This window comes from Homo sapiens, chromosome 9, assembly GCF_000001405.40.
Source record: "Homo sapiens chromosome 9, GRCh38.p14 Primary Assembly".
NCBI lineage: Eukaryota > Metazoa > Chordata > Mammalia > Primates > Hominidae > Homo > Homo sapiens.
The window spans coordinates 95,844,185-95,862,777 of record NC_000009.12 but is presented as its reverse complement, the minus strand read 5'-3'; the positions used below and the strand labels follow the sequence as shown (position 1 = coordinate 95,862,777).

At 38.3% G+C, this 18,593-nt stretch overlaps 2 long non-coding RNA genes and 1 pseudogene across 2 annotated transcripts in view, besides 1 other annotated feature; 1 reads left to right on the top strand and 2 right to left on the bottom strand.

The window, feature by feature from the left end:
- ERCC6L2-AS1 (ERCC6L2 antisense RNA 1) overlaps positions 1 to 18,593 on the top strand; it is a 69,890-nt gene that overhangs the window by 13,200 nt on the left and 38,097 nt on the right. The window contains exon 2 of the long non-coding RNA NR_023390.1: positions 12,486 to 12,551. This is a non-coding gene — a long non-coding RNA (ERCC6L2 antisense RNA 1). The remainder of the gene's footprint in view (positions 1 to 12,485; positions 12,552 to 18,593) is intronic.
- Positions 2,762 to 2,874, bottom strand: RNU2-46P (RNA, U2 small nuclear 46, pseudogene; annotated as a pseudogene).
- LOC124902221 (uncharacterized) lies at positions 8,992 to 10,481 on the bottom strand. The gene is made up of 3 exons (XR_007061680.1): positions 10,366 to 10,481; positions 9,599 to 9,718; positions 8,992 to 9,380 (listed from the first exon to the last, which is right to left on the bottom strand). It is a non-coding gene; the product is annotated as an uncharacterized LOC124902221 (long non-coding RNA).
- Positions 9,857 to 10,151: an enhancer, noted in NCBI's record as "tiled region #6609; K562 Activating DNase unmatched - State 5:Enh". NCBI's record gives its function as "activates a minimal TATA promoter and a strong SV40 promoter by Sharpr-MPRA in K562 cells {active_cell/tissue: K562}" and the evidence as "EXISTENCE:reporter gene assay evidence [ECO:0000049][PMID:27701403]".

Sequence of the window (18,593 nt, the reverse complement as noted above, 5' to 3'; positions counted from 1 at the left end):
AACTCTTCCAAAAAAATAAAGAGGAGTGAGCAGTTCTTATCTAAGTCTGTAAGTCCAGCATTACTTGATATCAAAGCCAGAGAAATATGCTACCAGGAAAGAAAACTAATATCCCTTAAGATTATTGAGGCAAAATACTCAACAAAATACTAGCAAGCCAAATTCAAGAGTGTATTAAAAGGATTACACATCATGACCAGGTGGGATTTATTACTGGAATACAAGGATGGCTCAATACACAAAAATCAATGTAATGCACCACATTAACAAGTAAAGGAAATAAAAACACATAATCATCTCAATTGATACAGAGAAAGTATTTGACATAGTTCAATACCCTTTCATGATTAGAAAAAAAAAAAACAAACTCAACAAACTAGGATTAGAAGGAAATTACCACAACATAATAAAAGCCATATATGAACAACCCACAGCTCAAACATCGTACTCAATGGTGAAAGAGTGAAAGCTTTTCCTCTAAGATCAGGAATAAGGCAAGGATGCTGTTTTGCCACTTCTATTCAACATAGTACTAGAATTCATAGTCAGCGCAGTGAAGTAAGAAAGAAAAATTAAAGACATCGCAATTGGAAAAGAAGGAATAACATTGTCTCTGTTCACAGATGACATCATTTTATATGTAGAAAACCCTAAAGATTTTACACAAACAAATCTGTTAGAGCTAATAAACTGATTTGGGAAAGTTGCAAAATCACAAAATCGACATGCAAAAATCATTGCTTTTCTAAACATTAGCAATGAATAAACCAAAAAGGAAATTAGGAAAATATTTCAACTTACAATAGCATCTCCTCCAGCCAAAAACAACAAAAGCCACTTAGGAATTAATACAACTAAGGAGTTGAAAGACTTGTACACTAAAAACTACAAAATATTGCTGAAAGATATTAAAGAAGACACAAATAAATGGGGGAAAAAACCAGTGTTCATGAATTGGAAGACTCGATATTGTTGAGATGTCACTGCTACCCAAAGCATTCCACAGATTCAATGCAATCCCTATTGATATTCCAATGCTTTTTCGTAGCAATAAAAAATCCATTCTGAAATTCATACAGAATCTCAAGAGACTTCGTGTAGCCAACTCAATCTTGTAAAATAACAAAGTTGAAGGTCATATACTTTCTTATTTCAAAGCTACAGTAATCAAAATAGTGTGATACTGAAAGACAGAAAGACAGACATAGAGCAATGTTGTTGCTATTGTAATAGCAACATTATCACAATAGCCAAAAGTGGAAGCAACTCAAGTGTCCACTGATAGATGAATGCAGACAAAATATGGTATATACATACAATGAAATATTATTCAGCCTTTAAAAAGAATGAAATTCTGGTACATACTACAACATGGATGAAACTTTAAGACATTATGTTAAGTGAAATAAGCCCCAGTCAAAAAGGACAACTTAGGGATAACTTACTAGAAGAATAAATTAGAATATAAATCTCAAAGCAGCAGAAATCATTTCTGTGTATTTGGAAGAACACAAGATGAACTAGGAAGAGGAAGAAGAAGCCACATAGTAAAAGGAAATATAAAATGAAAAAATAAATCCTGATAAAACAGTAATTATAGTAAATGGCACTCATATTGGATTACAAAACAAAGCGCTAAGTATAAGACATTCTTACACTTTAAAACAAAAAGACATAGAAAGGTAGAAATTAAAAGCACTAAAAACATATGCAAAAGAAATATAAACAATAAAAAAGGCCAGAGTACCAATCTTGATCTTAAATCTATCAAAAGACTTAAAGCCAAAAATATCTTCTAAAGACAAAGAGTAGCATTACACATAGATATTATAACAGGTCAAGAAGGTAAAACAAATCAAGAAGTTCAGCAAAGTTGCTGGATACAAGATCAGTTTTAAAAAGTCCATAACATTTCTCTGCAGCAGCAATGACCATCTAGAAAACATAATTAGGAAATAAGCTGCTGTACACAGCAGTAAAAACAACTATAACATGTCAGTAAACTTTTGAAAGAATGTGAAAGAGCTCCATGGTTAAAGTTTTAAAAACCTATTACGAGATGCGAAGTTCTAAATAAATGGAGAAATAGTTTATCTTTACAGATAAGATCATTTAACATTCTAAAAGTATCCACACCCCCCACTGACAAATGATTCATAAATCTATAGCATGCCAATTGAAACTGTAGCTAGATGTTTTTAAGGACTTTACTTATTTTAAAATGTATATAGAAGAATGAACATCCACAAATAGTTAAATCAATTTTGAAAAATAAGACTAAAGGGCAGGAATTTGTTCTGCCAAAACTTAAGATTAAAACAAAGCTATAGTAATTTAAAAAAAAAAACACACAAACAATAGTATGGTACTGGTGTAAAAACATAAATGAAGAAATGGAACAGAACGGAGATCTCAGATGGAAGTCTTAGATACGATAAACATGACACCACAAATCCTTGGGGAAAGAAAAACCGGTTTATGGTAATGGGAAAATAAGTTTACCATATTGAGAAAAAACAGATTTATATCTCATACCATATACATATATATACATATGCATATAGAGAGGAGTGTGTGTATATATGTGTGTGAAAATATATATGTATATATGTGTATATGTACTAAACATCTAAATATGAATAGCAAAACTATAAAGCTACAGAAGAAACTATAGGTTATGACACTGGTATGGGAAAGAACTCTTAAGCAAGTTACCAAAAGCACAAACAAAATGTAAGGAATTGTTCATTTGACTTCATCAGAATTGTTCAGTGAAGGACCCCACAGCCAAACTGAAACCAATGTGTTAACTAGTATTTAAACTGATAAGAACAGATACTACACTTGATCTTAGCCAAAAGGCCTAACTTGTATTTAGGATGTACAAGAAAACATATGCAAATCATTCGATAATAAAGAGTCAGGAAAACTAATTGAAAAATAGACAAAGAATGTATATAGGCAATTTGCAGAAGTGGAAACCTAAATGGCTAAAGGATATATGAAGAATGCTCAAATGTATTAAAAATCAGCTAAGAGTGATTTAAACAAATTCAAAAACTACAACTAGATATCCATGAGATAAACAAGCATTAGAAAATCAGATAAGGCCAAGTATTTGCAAGGATGTGGGAAAATAATAACCTAAGTGAACTACTAGTGAGAGTAGACTGGTACAGCTAGTCAAATTCAGTACTTAGTCAATTTCAACATGCATACACCTTATTACCCAGCCAGCCCTTACCTGGGTATATATATTGTAAAGAAGTTTTCACACTTAAGAGTCATGTATTATCTATTTGTGGCTTCCAGTGATTAGGGGGAATCTTGGTGTTCATTCCTGGAGGAAGGGGTGAGTAAAATGTGCAGACTGCATAATATTGAGTATTGTATGGCAGCTTGAAGTAACAAACCAAGTGTCAACAGAGCAATATGAATAGATCTTAAAAACACAGTGCTTTGGGAGGCTGAGGTGGGTGGATCACCTGAGGTCAGGAGTTTGAGACCAGCCTGGCCAACGTGGTGAAACCCCATCTCTACTAAAAATACGAAAATTAGCCAGGCGTGGTGGCGGGTGCCTATAATCCCAGCTACTAGGAGGCTTAGGCAGGAGAATTGCTTGAACCCGGGAGGCTGAGGTTGCAGTGAGCCAAGATCGCGCCATTGCACTCCAGCCTGGGCAACGAGCAAAACCCTGTCTCAACAAAACAAAACAAAACCACAGCGCTGAGTAAAAAAATAAGAAGTAGAACAAAGTCTAATAAGATACAGTAGACTATATTATTATATTTTGCAAGAGTATGTATACACGTGTTAGACTTCAAACTCAGAGCAGTTGTCTATGGAAAGGGGAATGGGAGAGGGAACGGTAACAGAATGAGGTGAAAAAGGAATAAATATCTAAATTAAGTGTTTTGCTTCAACTCTAATGATCAGGTGATATGAACTGAGGAATATGATTAGTTCAACTCTGGCACTGAGGTCATTTGAAAATATTGATAACATATAATATCTGTATTTGATGAATGTGCAGTGTAAATGAGGAAGATGACACAAGATTTACTTTATAGTAAAAACATGCTGAGTAATATAAGTCAAGTAAATGTAGGTGTGATCAGAGATTAGTGTAATCAGAAAGAAGGCATTCTGGAAGAGATAAGCTTTTAGCTGGCATTGAAGAATAGTTATATTTAGATGTGTCAGTTAGATAAAATATTATTCTACACAAGGTAAACTTTGAGAAAAGTCAGAAAATGGAAAAAGTTCATGTCAAGTGTGAAAAACCAGTGATTAAGTTTTGCTGGAGTATTTGCGCCTGAAGGGGATTAGTGAGAGAAAGGGTTCCTGGAAGATTTTAAAGGTGAGGCTAGAGAGTCCAGTTATTCCAAGGCAGTAGAGATCCACTGAAGACTTTATAGCAGGAGAGTGACATCCCAAGGACACAGGGGTCATTGCTGATGCTCCCAAAGTGCCTGCTGATCTGAGCTGCCAGGGTCATTTGATTAGTATCAATGACTTCAGGGACTCATCTAGAGTTCTCACATTTCCTTGTACTTCATTTGACTGAAGAATAAAGGACTTAGAAAATTGGAGCCCTAAGAAACAGTGAAAATAAGTCTGGGAAAATCCCTGGAGCCTAAAATTAAGCTCTGCCTGTTCTTGGTTTCTTGTTGCTCTCTGGCAACTTCATTAAGTTTCTATTCCTCTTTCCACTCCAACATATTGCAGCCCTTTGATGCCTTTAGATTAGCAAGTTCAACACCTTCTTTGGACTGTAGGTATGAAGACCCAGTTTTGAGCTAGGCTGACATTGGACAAGCTGCAAGGCCAGCAGTTCCTGCATCAGGTCAGCACAGGGAAGTAGGTATTAAAGAGCTGAGCCAGAGCCCTGGGTGCCAGGGCTGGGAAGAAGGCTGGTCTGGCAATCTCAGAATGGCATGGTATTGATAGGTGAGAGCAAACACTCATGATTATGGAGGTCTAACTTGAAGTTGCCAGGTTGTCGTGACCTACAGACTTAGTCTCATTGTTCTTTAAACTTAGTTTGAAAATTTAGAAAGCAACAGAATGAAAAAAGTTCCGCTTAGTTATCTTGCCTTCTCTTGTCACTCAGGTGAGAATGTGAATGCAACTGGACTCTTTTTCTCCTTGCCCAGTTCCTACACGTAAAGATTCCTTTACCAGGAACAGCCCTTAAGTCTTTCATGTCAGTTGTTTAATTCTCTGGAAACTGACCTCTGTTTCCCCATATCCTTCTTGCCTAACTTGTAGATTTCCTGGAGTTTGTCTCCCTGCAGCTGAAATTCTGGCAGCCAATAGGGGACTCAGCCTCACCCCAGTCTCTAGAATCAAACCAGGTATTAATAGGAGGGATTAAGTTGCTGTGACTCAACGCTTAGGCACTCTAGCAGCAAAGATGCTTGATGTTGTCCAGCCCTGATCTTGGGCCCCAGTTTTCACAACAGGCTTCTATCTTGCTCCAATCTGCTCTTTACACAGCTGCAAAAGCCCCTGCCTTGGCAACGTTCCTGGTAACAAGATCCCTCTGGGGAATGGCTCAGCCTTGGTCTTCCACTCCTCCTCCCCCCCATCACTTCTGCTGCCCCTCATATACTGAAGCCTTGCCCTTGAACACTGTCTTCTTGATATTTACACGTTGTGCTCAGTATGATGCTTGGGTCACAGACGATTAGTAAAGACATGAACTATGTTCATCATTCCTAGGGGGAAGGGGAAGGGCCAGGGTTCACTAAAAGGGTGTCATTCATTGCTGATGTCCTAGAAACTGCAAACTGCCAATTTGAGTTTAGGAAACACCTATTATTCTACCTTGATTGTATCTAAAAATGGGGTGAGAAGGAAAGTGGTTTAGTGAACTCCACCCTCAGGAATAAATGCAGAGGGCAACACCTCAGTGAAGTGTGGTGGTCTGCAATGTATATTTCAGACATCTGCCATTCCATGTCCTAGGTATGTACCTCTACCCTGCCCTTGGAATAGGAAAGTAGTCCTTGTATTCAAGCCAAATTGATATTAGGAGATCCACATATGATCTTATCAGGGACACTACAGTCTGTACTCTCTTTCTTTGCTGCCTTTCAGGGAACATATACCAGACCTAGAACACTGATGACTATTCAGGAAAGGTATGGAAGAGTGGGCACAAGGTGGGACCCTGACTATTTTCTGGAGTCACCACCAGCTGGGACCCAGTTCTGCTGACTGTTGTAGTCCTGTTGTAACAATTGCTTTCATGTTTGCTAAAATAAATAAATATCAATGTGTTTAACCAATAATGATAACCACTTTGCTTTTTGGCAAATCCTAAAGAGATAAAACTAATTCATATAATTTAGCGGGGAGAGAAAAAGGCACACACAAAAGTCTCATCCTCCTAGATCCATTTACCATCTTGAAAGGGACAAGTAACAGATAACTTGTTAATTATGGAAGGATTCTATAACCTTACTCACTTCTACCAGATTGGTTACTTCATTATCCTATTTCTTTTCAGAGATCAGGAATAAGATCCTTAAATTTTTTAGGTTTCTGTGCTTATCTACAGATGTAGAAGAAAATGCAAAATGAGGGAGATTATGCAGTGGTATGAAACAAAATCTGAAGGGATAGAAAGGATGGCTGAGTTGCTGGAGAGGAAAGAAAGCTGAGTTCCTGGGGCCTGCTTTGAAGATGAAAGGAAGGCACCAGGAGATAAACTGGGCCAGAGATAGGTCTTGTGAGGCTTTGCAGTTAAAAAACCTGCAGATGGTTTTTGGATGGGATCAAATATCAGAAAGGCAGATAAGCCACAAACCCAAATTAGTTTCCAGTTAAGTTATTGCTCTCAGATACAAAACTCAATACAATACTTGGCATTTTGTTTCACATGCAAGCTTTTTCCTATCATTCTTTCAATAAACATTTACTAAATGTCTATTCTGCAGCAGGCACAGCTGTAGGTAAATTAGCCAGAAATCAATTGATTGAAAACCAGTCCTCTATAAGTCAACTTAGCAAAGCATCAATTTGCCTAAAAACAATTTGCTAAATTTACCCAATTTATCACAAGTATATTTTTAAGTATTATTCTTCTTGAATATTCTTCTTAAATGTAGTATTCATGGGAATATTTTTAGGACTATTCAAGTTGTAGCAAGTGAGGACGTAGGTGGTCTAGGGTTTTTCAGACATTTTTCCTAGTCTAGTTTTTTTGCTAAGTATTGGTTGATGGTTTGTCTCTAGGTTTGTTGTATTTGCAGTTCCTTCAGTCTGGACTGCCCTTCCTCAGATATTTTCATGTTCGCTTTCCAAATTGCCTGTCATTTTGTCAGACGTATCACTGGATCCAGCTAAAAGGTGAATTTTGAAAACACTAAAATGTTTCCTAAAGCAAATATTGTACAGAAATAGTCAAATCAGTCACAAATAAAAATTCAGCTTTCATTTTATCTTAAGAATTTAAAGGACCAACTTATCAATGGTAATCAATTTGTAATTAGTTTAATTTACAATCACTCTGAAACCCTCAAACATCACTTTTTCAGATATAGCTTGGATTAATTAAAAATTTCACACTTGTCTAGAGACTATTCTACTTCATGTTACTGCACATTCTAGAATTAGCATACAGATTTCTCTCACACTTGGTACACTAAATAATTTAGTTATTTTTATAAATTGCATTAATTTCTAGGTTTTTCTAAAATACATTATTACCCTAGAAGTAGATAACCAGATGTTTAAAGTTTCAGACTTTAACTGCCTATCAGTAGAAAAGAATATATTTAATTAAAAATCTCCAAAGAGATAATCCTAAGGAAAAAAAGACAGCATATTGGCAGGAAAAGAGTAATTTTGAGTGTAGTACACCACATTCTAAATGAAAAATTTTGGATGACTTACAAGAATCCAGAGAGATTGAATCTGAATGGTGTGATTCAGATGGTAAATATGTGCTATGCATTTACTAAGAAGTCATAAAGTACAGGAGAGAGGTCTCACTTAGAGGCACTTATATTTTATAAAATCAGAAAGACTTTAGTTTATTGAATAAGGTCAAGTCTTATTTACATGCAACGATAGAAAAGCCAACATAAGTGGCTATAACTAGGATCAAATATTTAAGATGCAGCTAAAGGACTTCAACTTACAGTTCATGACAAATACACAGGAGATGAACCAGCTATAGGACACTATGAAGAAATAAACATATTTGAGACATGATACAAAACAATGGTCCTGGATGCTTTAAAAATTCAATGCCAAAGAAAAGAAGATGTGTTGGGGCATGAGGGTGCTACTGAGAACACTGTTGCACTAAAAGAGATTAAAAGAAATACAGAAACAAAATGCAATATACAAACCTGGATTTAAAACAAAACCCAGCCATTCAACACATGCTTAAATATATATCTGAGGAACAAATGAGAAAATTTGTACATGATCTGGGTATAAGATAATATTATAATAATTGCTAATTTTCTTGGATGTGTTAGTAGTATTGTGATCATGTAGTGGAATGCCCTATTTTTAGGAGATGACCCTGAAATATTTAGGGAAGAATATCATGAAGTCTGTTGCTTATTTTGATATAGGTTCAGCAAACAACATACACACACAAGTGCACACACCCACTTATCTGGCAAAATGTTAACAATTGTTGAATCTAAATGGTAGGTGTCTAAGTGATATGAGTGTTCATTGTATTTTTCTTCTGAATTTTCTATATGTTAGAAAATGTTCATAATAAAACATTGGAAAAAATAAAAATTATTAAAGTTTTTGTAGTAAAAGACAGGTCCTTTTAGAATTTTGAAAAAAGGATCTTAAGGAATTATCTTTATTTAAGAAACAGAGCTAAACTTAAGAATAAGATAGCACTGTTTATAAAGAATGCCATTAGCCTATTCCTAAATAAAATGCCAGGCAAATAATGATAATTATTCTTAAGACATAGGCAATTGGCCTTACAATACCAATTATCTGTGTTTCTAACTATCCTGCATCCTCTCAGGGTAAATAAGGATGTTAATAGCTTACAGCACTATACCACTGTAAGCTCATAGAGGTCAGTATATTATAAATTATTTTCAGTGTTATAGGCATCCAACCTTTACACAAATGTCAGAAAGGAGGCAGATGAAATTCTGACTTAGTATAAAATCTAACAATCTTTGTAAGCAGAATGGTTGAATCAATATTTTTCCATTTAGCTAACATAGCACATGAATTAGTTGAATTTACCTGAGTAAGTGTGGAGCTCACTGAGATTGTGACTTGGCATCGCTGGAATATTGCAGTAAGTGCAAAATGCTTCCCAAAGGATGCTGCTTTTTCACAGCCGAGGCTGGAGAAACCAACTTAGTAGCAAATTGGTCTACCTGTTAAACAAGAAAATGAAACATGGAGCAGAAGAAATGTCTGTCAGTGTTATAGACTAGAGCTCCTGTAACAGCCAACCCCTTCTCAAGGTCCTAGATGATCCCAGTGGGCCTCAAAACCCACCATGGGTGATGTGCAGAGTGCCTCAGGGCAGTTAGGACTAGAAGACCTGGCATGCACGGCAGTCTAACAGGAAGGAGTTTAGTTTTCTATTTACCTGCAACTGAATATAGATTTCCACCTTGCATGCAAAAGCCCGCTTTTCAGTCAGCGGCATTCAGAGATCTGATGCTGGATAACAGCTTCTTCGAAGGAATGTTCTTATTTTTTTGAAAATCTGAAACACAAGAAAAGTATTATTCTTGGGCACCAAATAAAGACCTGGTAAAAATCCTTATTGCCACAGAAAGTCATCATCTTCTAACATTGTGAGAGATAGAACTTGGAGGCAGCAAACACTCTGCAATAATACATCAACATTCAGATCTCTTTGAAAGAAAGTTTCCCATTATAGACTTGGCTACTTGTTATACTCTAGGTGAAGACCACCTGGAGGGAAATGTCTACACAGCGACTCATTTCTTCTACTAGAAGATGTCAAAAGTAGAAGCTGCTTAGTCATAGCAAGATTGCTGTCACCAGTGAACATGTCAACTGAGTCATACAAGGAACGTCTAAAATGGACTTCTCAGAAGTTGAAAATGTTGCTTCTCTTGATTAGTAGCGCAGGAAGGGGAGAAATAGGTATTCCTTGATTAATGGGCAAACACACCATTTCCCAGAGACTCAGACAGTTGGAGAAACCCATGAATGAATAAGTCAGAGAGGAAAAAAAATAGTGCCGATATAAAGAACCGTTTATTTTCTCCTTGTTTCCATGAAGAGTGCCTTTTTGTTTGCAGATCCTCACTACTGCAGCAACCCAGAGAATAGAGGAAATTATGCCAATAGCTAAAGCAAAACTTGAAGATTTCTTTAAAGTACCTAATTATGGTTTTAAAAAATTCTCCATCTCGATTTGCTGGAAGTTGAGACCCAGGTCTTTTGCAAGCTTGTGAAGTGAAAGAAATTTCTAACAACCTTCCCTGGACCAAACCATTCTCTCCAATCTCCGTCCCTTCCTGTCTTTTCATTGCTGGTCATGCCTCCTTTGTGTACATTCAGGCTCATGATTCTCTGATTCTCTGCCAGAACATACCTCTTCTCTCAAGGGCCTGCTAAATGGCTTGATACTCTGGCCAGTAAACAATTTGAAACCCTCCATTTGTATGCTTATGGACAATTGGGATTTCAGTTTAAAAAATAAAGCATATTTTTAAAGTGAATTCTATTTTGTGATGTGGCTGTTGATTTCGTTTTAAAATTAGAGACGAGGACCAGGCTGAAAGACAAGCTGAGGGAAAGACTATGCCGTGCAGCAAAGTGCACAAAACTTAAGTGTATACAGCTTGGTGAATTTTTGGATATGAATCCACCTGTGTAACCACCATCTGGAGCAAAATATTGAACATTTTAAGCATCCCAGAAGATTCTATCATGCTTCCTCCTAGCTCTAACCTCCTTCCGCCTAAAGGTAATCATGATCCTGATTTCTATCACCAGGGATTCATTTCACCTGTTCTTAAACTTTATGTGAATGAAACAACACAAGATGTACTCTCTTGTGTCTTATGTGTGTGAGATACACTCATGTTGTTACATGCAGCTGTGGTTTGTTCTTTTTCATTGCTATGGAGTATTCCATTATATGCAAATTCTTCCATTTCCATTCTGTTGCTTTGGTTCTTACAAAATATGTCATTTCATGGGCATGTGCACTTTAAAAAAACAGACTTTATAGGTCGGGCGTGGTGGCTCATGCCTGTAATCCCAACACTTTGGGAGGCTGAGGCGGGCGGATCACGAGGTCAGGAGATCGACACCATCCTGGCTAACACGGTGAAACCCCATCTCTACTAAAAATACAAAAAAATTAGCTGGGCGTGGTGGTGGGTGCCTGTAGTCCCAGCTACTCGGGAGGCTGAGGCAGGAGAATGGCGTGAACCTGGAAGGCAGAGGTTGCAGTGAGCCGTGATTGCACCACTGCACTCTAGCCTGGGCAACAGAGCGAGACTCAGTCTCAAAAAAAAAAAAAAATAGACTTTATAGAGCAGTTATAGGTTCACAGCAAAATTAATCAGAAAGTACAGAGTTTCTATCAACTCCCTGGCTCCACAAACATACAGCCTCCGCCACTATCAACATCCCCCTACGGAGTACTACATTTGTTACGATCGATAAACCTTTATTGACACATTGTTATCACCCAAATTGACCCCTTTCATTATGAAATGCCCTTCCAAAATCCCTAACAACTCCTGTGCTCTGAACTCTTCTCTTTCTGAAGTTAATATCATTATTCCTGCTTTCTATTAGTGTTGGCACAGTATATCTTTCTCCATCCATTTACTTTTAATATATGTGTCTTTATATTTAATGTGGGTTTCTTGTAGAGAACATATAGCTGGGTCTTGTTTTTTGATGTACTCTGACAATCTGTCTTCTAGTTGGTGCATTTAACCATTGACATTTAAAGTAATTATTGATATAGTTGGATTAATATCTACAATATTTATTACTGTTTTCTATCAATTGCCTTTGTTTTTTGTTTTTATTTTTAAATTCCATTCCTTTTCTGCCTTTGGAGGTCATAATTGATAATTTTAGATTATTCCGTTTTCTCTCCTTTCTAAGATACTTTTTTTGTTGCTTTTTTTAGTAGTTGCCTTAGAGTTTGCAAAATACATTTACAACTAATCTAAGTCACCTTTCAAATAACGCTATATCCCTTCATAGGTAGTACAAGTACTTTACAACAAAAAAAACTTATTCCTCCCTCCTGTCCCTTGTATCATTGTTGTCATTCATTTCACTTATCCATAAGCACATACACATATATGTATTCGTATACATATATGTAAGCATGCATAATCAAATGCATTGTTGCCACTATTATTTTGAAGAAACTGTTTTCTGTTAGATCAATTAAGAATAATTGTTTAAGTTTTCTAAATGTTTAAAATTTTCCTTCACTTATTCCTTCTCCAATACTTTTCTTTCTACAGATCCCAGTTTCTGACCTGTAGCATAGTCCCTCTCTCTGAAGAACTTCCTGTAATATTTTTTGCTAGGTGAGTCTGTTGGCAATAAATTCACTCAATTTTTGTTTGTCTGAGAAAGTCTGTATTTCTTCTTCACTTTTGAAGAATAGTTTTGCAGAGTAGAGAGCTCTAGGTTGGTGGCTATTTTTTTTTTTTTTTTCTTGAGACGGAGTCTTGCTCTGTCGCCCAGGCTGGAGTGCAGTGGCGCAATCTCGGCTCACTGCAAGCTTCACCTGCCGGGTTCACGCCTTTCTCCTGCCTCAGCCTCCCGAGTAGCTGGGACTACAGGCGCCCACCACCACCATGCCCAGCTAATTTTTTGTATTTTTAGTAGAGATGGGGTTTCACTGTGCTAGCCAGGATGGTCTCGATCATCTGACCTCGTGATCCGCCCGCCTCAGCCTCCCAAAGCGCTGGGATTACAGGCGTGAGCCACCGCACCTGGCCTGTTGGTGGCTATTTTCTCTCAACACATCAAATATTTCACTCTACTCTCTTCTTGCTCGCGTAGTTTCTGAGGAGATTATGACATAATTCTTATCCTTGTTCCTCTACAGATAAGGTGTTTTTCCTCCTCTGGCTTCTTTCAAATTTTTTTTTTTTATCTTTCATTTCTGCAGTTTGAATATGATATAGCTAGGTGCGGTTTTTTGGCATTAATCCTGCTTGGTGTTCTCTGAGCTTTCTGGATCTCTGCTTTGGTATCTGACATTAATTTAGGGAAATTCTCAGTCATTATTGCCACCACTATTTGCTCTGTACCTTTCTCTCTTTCTTATTTCCATTATGCTAATGTTACACACAGTTCTTAGATATTCTGGGGTTTTGTTTGTTTTTTGTTTTTGTCATTTTCCTATGACTTCTCAATTTTGGAAGTTTCTACTGACAAATCCTCAAGACCAGAAATTCTTTCGTCATCTATCCAGGATGATGGGCTCATGAGTAATGAGTCTATCAGAAGTATTCGTTTCTGTTACAGTGTTTCTGATTTATAGTATTTTTATTATTTCCTAGAATTCCTATCTTTCTGCTTACATCACACATCGATTCTTGCATGTTATTGACTTTTTTCATTGGAGCCCTTAGCATGTGTATCATAGTTGTTTTGAATTTCCAGTCTGATAACTCTAACATTCCTGCCATACCTGAATTGATTTGGATGCTTATTCTGTCTCTTCAAAGTGTAATTCTTGCCTTTTAGTATGCCTTGTAATTTTCTGTTGAAAGCCAGACTCACCAAAGCTCCTGGATTCTCATGTGCATAGACACTTAGGAGCCCTGCCAGGTCTCCTGACAGTTCTGAGTGTGGCCAGGTCTCATGATGAGTACAGTCCCATCTCCAGTGGAGGCTCTGCTATGCTTAAGTACATCACAGGCACAATTAGAGAATTTCAAGTTTTAATTCTATGGAGTTTTATTGAACAGAAAATATCAGAGATAGGAATTGAATACTTTTTGTCATGGCTACAATTTTTTTTTCTAAAAGCCAGTCAGAATTTGCAGTTCACAAAGACCCCCAAACCAAAATTTAATATTGAGTGACTGTCATCAACTCCTGACATTGAGGGCTGGTTATTATGAAGCCACAGCTTGATAAAGGCCTTTTGATAATAGAAGCTGTCTTCTACCTTTGTTACGGGAAAAGGGTCCTGATCCAGACCCCAAGAGAGTGTTCTTGGATTTTGTGCAAGAAAGAATTCCAGGCGAATCCATAGAGTAAAGTGAAAGCAAGTTTATTAAGAAAGTAAAGGAATACAAGAATAACTACTCCATAGGCAGAGCAGCCCCGAGGGCTGCTGGTTGCCCATTTTTATGGTTATTCCTTGATGATATGCTAAACAAGGGGTGGATTATGCATGCTTCCCCTCTTTTAGACCATATAGGGTAACTTTCTGATGTTGCCGTGGCATTTTATAAACCATCACGGAGCTGGAGCTGGTGGTGTGACGGGATCTTTGGGGTGTTGCTTTTCTGGCTGGAAACCTCCATGCTGGCAGGGCCTTTGCCCGAGTTCTTGTCCTGGATCCAGGAAGAGTGAGGTGTGCAGACAAGTGGAAGATGAACAATATGAAGAGGAGCTTTACTGAGTGTTGCAACAGCTGGGAGGAAGTCCACAGTGGGTAGCTCCTCTCTGTATGCAGGTTGTCTAGTGGAGTGTTCAGCTCTCAGCAGAGAGGAGGCCCTGGAGAGGGTGGCTCCTCTGTGCAGACAGGTCGTTTGGACATCGCTGCAGGTCTCTGAAGCTCTCAGCAGAGAGGATAGCTCCTCTCTGCCAGCAGGTTGTCTTGTCAGCAGAAAGGGTAATTCCTCTCTGCAACTGGTCTTCCGGTGGCCTCTCCATCCTTTGTTCTGCTCTGGCTGAGCTGGGGGCTTTTATGGCCTTCAGAGGGGAGGAAGTGCATGCTAATTGGTTGGTGGGTGGCCACAGGCGGCCTGGAAGAGGCATCATGAGTCCCTGCTCTGGTCTTGGGACTGACTGGCAGCCAGGCCCCCCCAGCCTACAGGCCCTCCCTGGCCTGAAGGAGGGGACTTACTGGGGACCACCCACTTCCACCCACGAATCTGTCTGCCTTCCACTGCCATTCATGGTCCTGGGGCTCGGCCTCAATCCCCCTCTGAGATCACAGCAGGCACCGGGAGAGGAGAGAGGCCAGGCACCGGTAGCAGGCACCCCCAAACCTGCAGGGATGGGGGTGGGGAGTGGGGGTAGAGGGGCATGTGTTGGGGGGGAGTGTGGGCCTTCCCAGGTCCCCGGAGGATGCAGGTGCAGAGGTGCCCAGGTCCTGCACCTAGGAGGGCTGCTACAGCTGCACCCAGCTTCTTTATTGCAACCTGTTTTATCAGCAAGGTCTTTATGACCTGTGTCTTGTGCCGACCTCCTAATCTTACCCTGTGACTTAGAATGCCTTAACCTCCTTGGAATGCAGCCCAGTAGGTCTCAGCCTCGTTTTACACAGCTCCTATTCAAGATGGAGTTGCTCTGGTTCAAACGCCTCTGACATCTTTGTGCTGATAAAAATACATATCTTTGGCTGGGCGCAGTGGCTCACACCTGTAATCCCAGCACTTTGGGAGGCTGGGGAGTGCGGATCACGAGGTCAGGAGATCGAGACCAGCCTGGCCAACATGGTGAAACCCCGTCTCTACTAAAAATACAAAAATTAGCTGGGCGTGGTGGCACGCACCTGTAGTCCCAGCTACTCGGGAGGCTGAGGCAGGAGAATCGCTTGAACCAGGGAGGCTGAGGTTGCAGTGAGCCGAGATAGCGCCACTGCACTCCAGCCTGGCAACAAAACAAGACTCCGTCTCAAAAACAAACAAAAAAATTAAAAATTTAGTTTCAAGCCCATAATAATTAGTGGATCTTCTATCTTTAATAAAGCTGGAACAAAACCTACAAAAATTAATCATTATGCATCTTTGAACTATATTGAACTATAGAAAATTATTTTTTGAATGTTGAAATCAAATCTTAAGAGTTTCAGCTGGTCTTTTTCAGCATTACAATAAATTCTAGCACAGGTTTCCCAAAGTGAGTTCTAAAACAGACGTTCTTAAACAATAACATGTGCCTAGGGATCTTGTCAGAAAGCGTATTTTAATTCATTAGGTCTGGGGTAGGGCCTGAGATTCTGCATTTTAACAAGCTCTGAGGACACACTGATGATGCTGATCCACTATTACAGATTGAGTAGCAAAGGTTGGTGACCCCGATGAGCCCCCATTATTATGAAAATACAACCGGGAATGGTTAGGTGTGTGTTGCAACAGGAAAAACAATGTCTGTGTTAAATGACACTAGTTCAGTTTTAAGTCCTGCCACTTGCTAGCTGTGCAATCTTGAATAAATTCATGCAATGATTCTGAGCTTCAGTTTTCTTATCTATTAAATGTGTTTATTACTCACCTTACTAGCTCAAAATATAATGGAGTCTCTTCTAACTTAAAAGTTAGATTCTAAGTAAATGTATAAAGCAGAAATATATGTGTATGTATGGTATATGTATAAGTACTTGCTTGGAAGTACCTTTAAATCTTCCATTAAGTATATGATTTTAATAAATCCAACACAGATAGGTAGAGACTTCGCATTATTACCTAGGCAGTAATCTGTTCCTGGACAGTTGGCATCATGGTTTGTTGGAACATTTTGCAGTCCTGGTGAGGTTCAAATTCCCTTCCATCACCAAGAAGGGGTGGAAAGGACAGTAATTGTCCAAATCCCCTAAGGATTGCCCTCTGATTCTCAAAGACATTGAGCAATTTCAAATTAACTTTCAAATCTGTTTGTGTAAACTGTATCCCTTTTCAGAAAGAACAATCTACCACATTCACTTATAAACAGAAACTTAAATTGCAACAGATGTTTCCCTTTTTGAAAAGGTTCTTGAATTCATTGACAGACCTTTGGCTAAACTGATGAATTAATTTGTTCGGGCCAGATTTCATAAATCCTCTAATAATTCTTCCCTTTACACATATTGACTTGATTTATCAGATCTACAGCATGTGGTTTAAATGTTTTAACCATTACTGCTTTAATCAAATACCATTTATTTCAAGGTTGGATGATGACTGACCATTGAAAGATATAGCTAACTAATAAAGTCCAATTTGTCAGTTAAGTAAACCTGGGTATCTAAATAATAAGTAGAAATTAGTCTATGTCACTGAATTTTGAAATGTTTGGCAGCTTTAATGTAACTCCTTCTCTCCCAGGACTTTGTGGAAGATAAATTTCTGAGTATTGCTACAAAGCTTGGGCATGCATGTAGATGCCATGCTTAGATGTAGCTAATTGAGCTTGGCTATACACAAGCCAGCTTTTAACTATACAAGTAGATTTGTTTATGGTGTGTTAGACTCTTTTTTAAATTAATACACGAAAGCTAAGTACCAATTTAGCATGGTTCTAATCAGGTTTTAATACAAAATTGAGCTGAGCTTTTCAATTTTATTTTTATTAACTCACAGCACTAAACTTGAGGTGAACCTTGCTTACCATAAACAAGTTTAAACTCAACTTTGGTAAAAAAAATTTCAAAGAGTATATATAAAGCTTTTTAAGAGTATCTGTTAGAAAACTTTATTTCTAGAGTCCAATGAGCTGAATTTCATCAGTGTTCTTTGGTGGTTAATTATCACAGGGCCACGAGAGAAACTCAGGGGATCACTTACTGGTTATACCAAGAATGGATTAAGTTGGTTATTTTCCTTTTTGATATGAGCACTGTCAGAGTCTAGGATTCCCATTAGAATATTGAAGTGAGAGTGGTCATAATATCAAGATAAAATGCCTTCTGTGCATTGGGAAAACCATTTGATTATGACCCTCTCAAACTTAGACTGGCTAAGTATAAGATAAAGGATAAAACACACGCAAAACAGCATCAGAATTACCTGGACGCTAGTTAAGACACAGACTGAGACAAGGGTGCCAAAATCATTCAATGGAGAAAGGTCAGACTTTTCAACAAATGGTGGTGAGAAAACTAGATATCCATATGCAAAAGAATGAAGTTGGACTTTTAACCTTATATCATATATAAAAATTAACTCAAAATGAATCAAGAACCTAAATGTAAGAGCATAAACTCTAAAACTCTTAGAGGAAGACATGGGGGAAATCTTCATGACATTGGACTTGGCAATAATTCCTTGGATATATCACCAGAAGCACAGGCAACAAAAGAAAAAATAAATAAGTTGGACTTCATCAAAATTAAAAACTTTTGCCTATCAAAAGTCACTACAGGCCGGGCGTGGTGGCTCACGCCTGTAATACCAGCACTTTGGGAGGCCAACGCGGGTGGATCACCTGAACTCAGGAGTTTGAGACCAGCCTGGCCAACATGGTGGAACCCCATCTCTACTAAAAATACAAAAAATTAGCCAGGCGTGGTGGCAGGCACCTGTAATCCCAGCTACTTGGGAGGCTGAGGCAGGAGAATCGCTTAAACCTAGGAGACGGAGGTTGCAGTGAGCCAAGATCGGGCCATTGCACTCCAGCCTGGGCGACAGAGCAAGCCTCTGTCTCAAAAAAAAAAAAGAAAAGTTACTATAAAGACAGTG